Source organism: Homo sapiens, chromosome 3, assembly GCF_000001405.40.
Source record: "Homo sapiens chromosome 3, GRCh38.p14 Primary Assembly".
Classification (NCBI taxonomy): domain Eukaryota; kingdom Metazoa; phylum Chordata; class Mammalia; order Primates; family Hominidae; genus Homo; species Homo sapiens.
This window is the reverse complement of record NC_000003.12, coordinates 12,192,033-12,195,870: the sequence shown is the minus strand read 5'-3', so window position 1 is coordinate 12,195,870 and position 3,838 is coordinate 12,192,033. Positions and strand designations below refer to the sequence as shown.

Sequence of the window (3,838 nt, the reverse complement as noted above, 5' to 3'; positions counted from 1 at the left end):
ATACATGCATGAGAATACCTGGATTCCAGGTAAAGAATTCCTGATCTTCCAAGAGTTACAGAAATTCAAATAATGTACTACAGATCTGAAGGCAATTATGTTCTGAACATAAGCAGCAGCCTTGTAGGAATAAATAATCTCCCAAAGGAATTGCTTTGAAGGGAACCATACCATTGTAGGAATGATGGTATGGTCTCAGTGTTTAAAAAAGCATCCATTGTGATCACCTGGGGTTTGCGTTGTTATTTCTGTAGCTGCAGTTTTTACTTTGTGTGCATGTGTGTACGTATGTATGTGTCTGCCGTGTGTTTACTGCTATTGGAATGCCTTGGCACAGCACAGGCCTCCCCAAGTGTCCACCCTCAGCTCAGTTTAGCTAATACAACTAAAAGGAGCCATAGCCCTAGGAAAAGACATTGGATGGGCTGAAATTGCCCTAGAGGTTCCCCTGGTTGCAGGAGCAGGAGAAAGGCATGTTTGGCATTCGTTTGGCTGCTCCTGGAGGAGTCCTGGGGAAAGGGGGTTTGGGACTTACTCATACAGGTTTTCTATGTGACAGAGATGGTTTCTTGTGATCTCGCATGCTAACCACTGTTAGGAACAGACTCTATCAGCTTGTTTAATTCTTAAGACAACCTCCTTGGAAAGGTAGCATTGTTCTCATTTTATAGATGAGAAAATTTGAGACACAGAAAAGTTAAACTACATAATCAATTAGCTAATAACTAGCAGAGCCTGGATTTAAACTCAATTTGATTCCAAAACCCAGGCTCTTTCCACTAGCCAACACTATCTCTTCCCTTTGCCTCCTGGCCTCTGTGAAATGATTCCATAAGTCTCTCTCACCCTGGAGGGCCCCCAAATATGAAACCCATTTCATTTATTTCAGGAAAGGCAATGTTCCCAGTGGCCCACCAGACACTTAGTGTTGAGACTCATTTGCTTCTATTACTAACTCCCTTTGTAACCTTGGCAAACTCCTTAAGTTGCCTGGGCCTTGATGCAACTAGATGCAACTTCCAGCTGTAAAACTCAGTGACTGAATTCTGTGCACCCAGCCCAGTCCCGGCAGGTGGCGTGCCTCCTGTCCTGTGGGCTGTGCACAGCTCACCTCCAGGGTGCGGTCTTCTCTGAGCTCCTGAGCTAGAAGCTTGCCCCACTGCAACAGCATATGCTGCTTGTGGTCCATTTTACACTTGCCTGGCTCATCTTATTCATTCTCCTTTCATATCTTACCTGAACTCATCTGCATTCCTCATATATTTTATTTAACTCCTACACAGTATTCCAATTTATGAATAAACCATATATTTTAATTCCCCACGAGAGGTGGTTATTTCCAGTCTTTGCACAAAGAGTGCTGTGACCAATATTCTTTTACTTGGTTTCTTATGTACATGTGCAAGAGATTCTCTAGAGTAAATGTTCAGAAATGGAATTGCTGAGTCATAGGGTTTACGCATGATTGCCAAATTGTTCCCTGAAATGGCAGTACCAACATGCACCCCCATTAGCAACGTGTAAGACTTCCTTCTGCTTCTCATATCCTCACCAATACCTATCAAGCTTATTTTTTTTTTCCAAACTAACATTTTGACTGCATTTGACTTAATGCATTACATTTTCTTCTTTATATTTACACATCTTCCCTACTGGGCTATAAACTTTGTAAGGGCCGAATCCTTGCTTAATTCATTTTTATATTCCTCTCATAAAATTTATGGCGCTAAATAAAATAAGGGGTTGTGAACAAATCAATAAAATACAGAATTAATTTATCTTGACCCAAGATGATGATGAGTTCCATGTGGGCAGGGATGAGGCTTTCTACCTTTACTAATCTGGGGTGAAGACATAGGTAGGGAATCCCCATAAACTGCAGAGGTGGTTGCACAGTGGTCAAAGCTGGCCTACAGACAAGGCTTCAAGATCTGTAGAAGACTGCAACCAATCTTTCAGAGATCTTAGCTGTAGATAATTTTTATCACAGTATTCACTGAATATTTATTGATGGTTGTTGAATAGCCAACTTCCCAGTCTCTGGGGCTGTCTTTTTTAAGTAGCAAGAAGGCTGTTTCTGAATGGAACTTCCCCACCCCCAGCCCCACCCCATTACTAAGGGCTGGAGAGAATCCATATGTCCTTCAGACCAGGGTGCTGCCTGACCTATGGTAAATGCCTCTCCTTTTTGTCACTGCAGCATTTCCAGGCTGACTCATTTTCTAAATAAGCCACTTGTGGTTTTTGGTCTGACATCACATGTGGAAGAATGAGTAATTTTTTAAGAACCAGAATTATATTCTATCAGAATAAGAAACATTGTGTATGTTACTCATGGTTTTAGGACAAGGGGTCAACACTGGTCACAGATGTCCTAACTTTCTCCCAGTCCTTCTTTCCCTGGGGTCAGGGGATGGAGAGAGAATGTAAAGAGGTGGATATGCTGTAAATTTTTGTGTGCACCTCTTATCACACTGTGTAAAATTTAATACAATTGTCTTGTTGACTTTGCTAGATTAAATAAAAGTAATATGGCAAAGTAGCTCAGGCCATGAGTTCTGCTGCTGCACTGCTTAGGTTGGTTCAAATCCCAGCTCTGCCACTTGCCCAGCTGAGTGACCCTGAGTGAGTTATTGACCTTGATGTGCCTCCATTTCTCATTTATAAAATAATAACAGCACCTACCATATAGGCTTATTATAAGGAACACATAAGTTGATGAGCATTAAGTATTTAGAATAGTGCCTGACTATGGAAGTGTCAGCAAATATTCCTATGAATCCATCACAATGTTTATGTTTATCGTAAGTGCTCAATAAATGTTTTGACTAAATGAATGACTTCTCTTAAAACATATTTGGAATCGGGGATAGAAGCAATGGCTAGTGGCAGACTCTTGGTTTGTGAAGGGGGTCAGAGTATGCTACCTCAAAATATGCCACTTTGGCATATTGTTTATGTTGAGCTGAAGGCAACAGAACAACAACAGATGCAGGAAAGGTTTTCCGACTTCCCCCTTCCTGTCTGAAGCAGGACTAAAACTTCTTGTGGGAAGGGTGCCTCTCCCCCAGAAGGAAGAAGGGAACAAACATTCTTATCACCAGAGACAGGGAGTTGACACTGAGATGAATCTCCACAGACAAAACCTTACTAAAACTTGTAACCCTTCTCTCCCATTAGTTTCTCCCATATATTTCCTACTTTCCCACAATTTACTGGCTGACTAGCCCAGACGCCTTTGTTTTGTCATATCGTCACAATTTATCATTCTTTGTTTAAAATGGTATACAAGTTTTGGGCTTAACAGCTTGGGTCTTCATTTTCCTTATGAAGATTCCCACGTACGCATAAAAATATTAAATAAAATGTGTATACGTTTGTCCTGTTCATCTGTCTTATGTATGCTTAATTTTCAGGCCCAGCCACAGAACGTTAAGAGGACATCTGCCTCCCCTACAGCTGGAAACAGAAGGAACTCTAAAGGTCAATTGCCTTGCGCCCAGGTACCCCACGCATTGGTTTGGTTGGTTTGTTCCTTAGTTATGTGTGTTGTGGGAGGAGGGCTCTCACCCCCCAGGGGTCACTCAATGGGAGGTTCTACTTCCTGTTTTCTAAGTGTAAGAAGAGGGTACGGTGCTCAATCCTTGAACTGTGAAAACAGAGAATGAGTAAGAAAGGAGACCCTGGTTCTCGGAGAAATTCATTCTCTGACCTTGCAGCATCTACTGCCCGTGAAGAGAAGTTAAGATAGTGGCATTTGGAGGAGGTTATCTTGTTGAGTTAGTAGGATGGGTGTCATGTGTAGGAAATTATCTAGATACTTATTAACATTCAGATA

The 3,838-nt window shown here is 41.7% G+C and overlaps 1 annotated feature.

Annotated features, from left to right (window-relative positions):
• Positions 981–1,030: an enhancer, noted in NCBI's record as "active region_19438". NCBI's record gives its function as "activates an Ori minimal core promoter by ATAC-STARR-seq in GM12878 lymphoblastoid cells {active_cell/tissue: GM12878}" and the evidence as "EXISTENCE:reporter gene assay evidence [ECO:0000049][PMID:35858748]".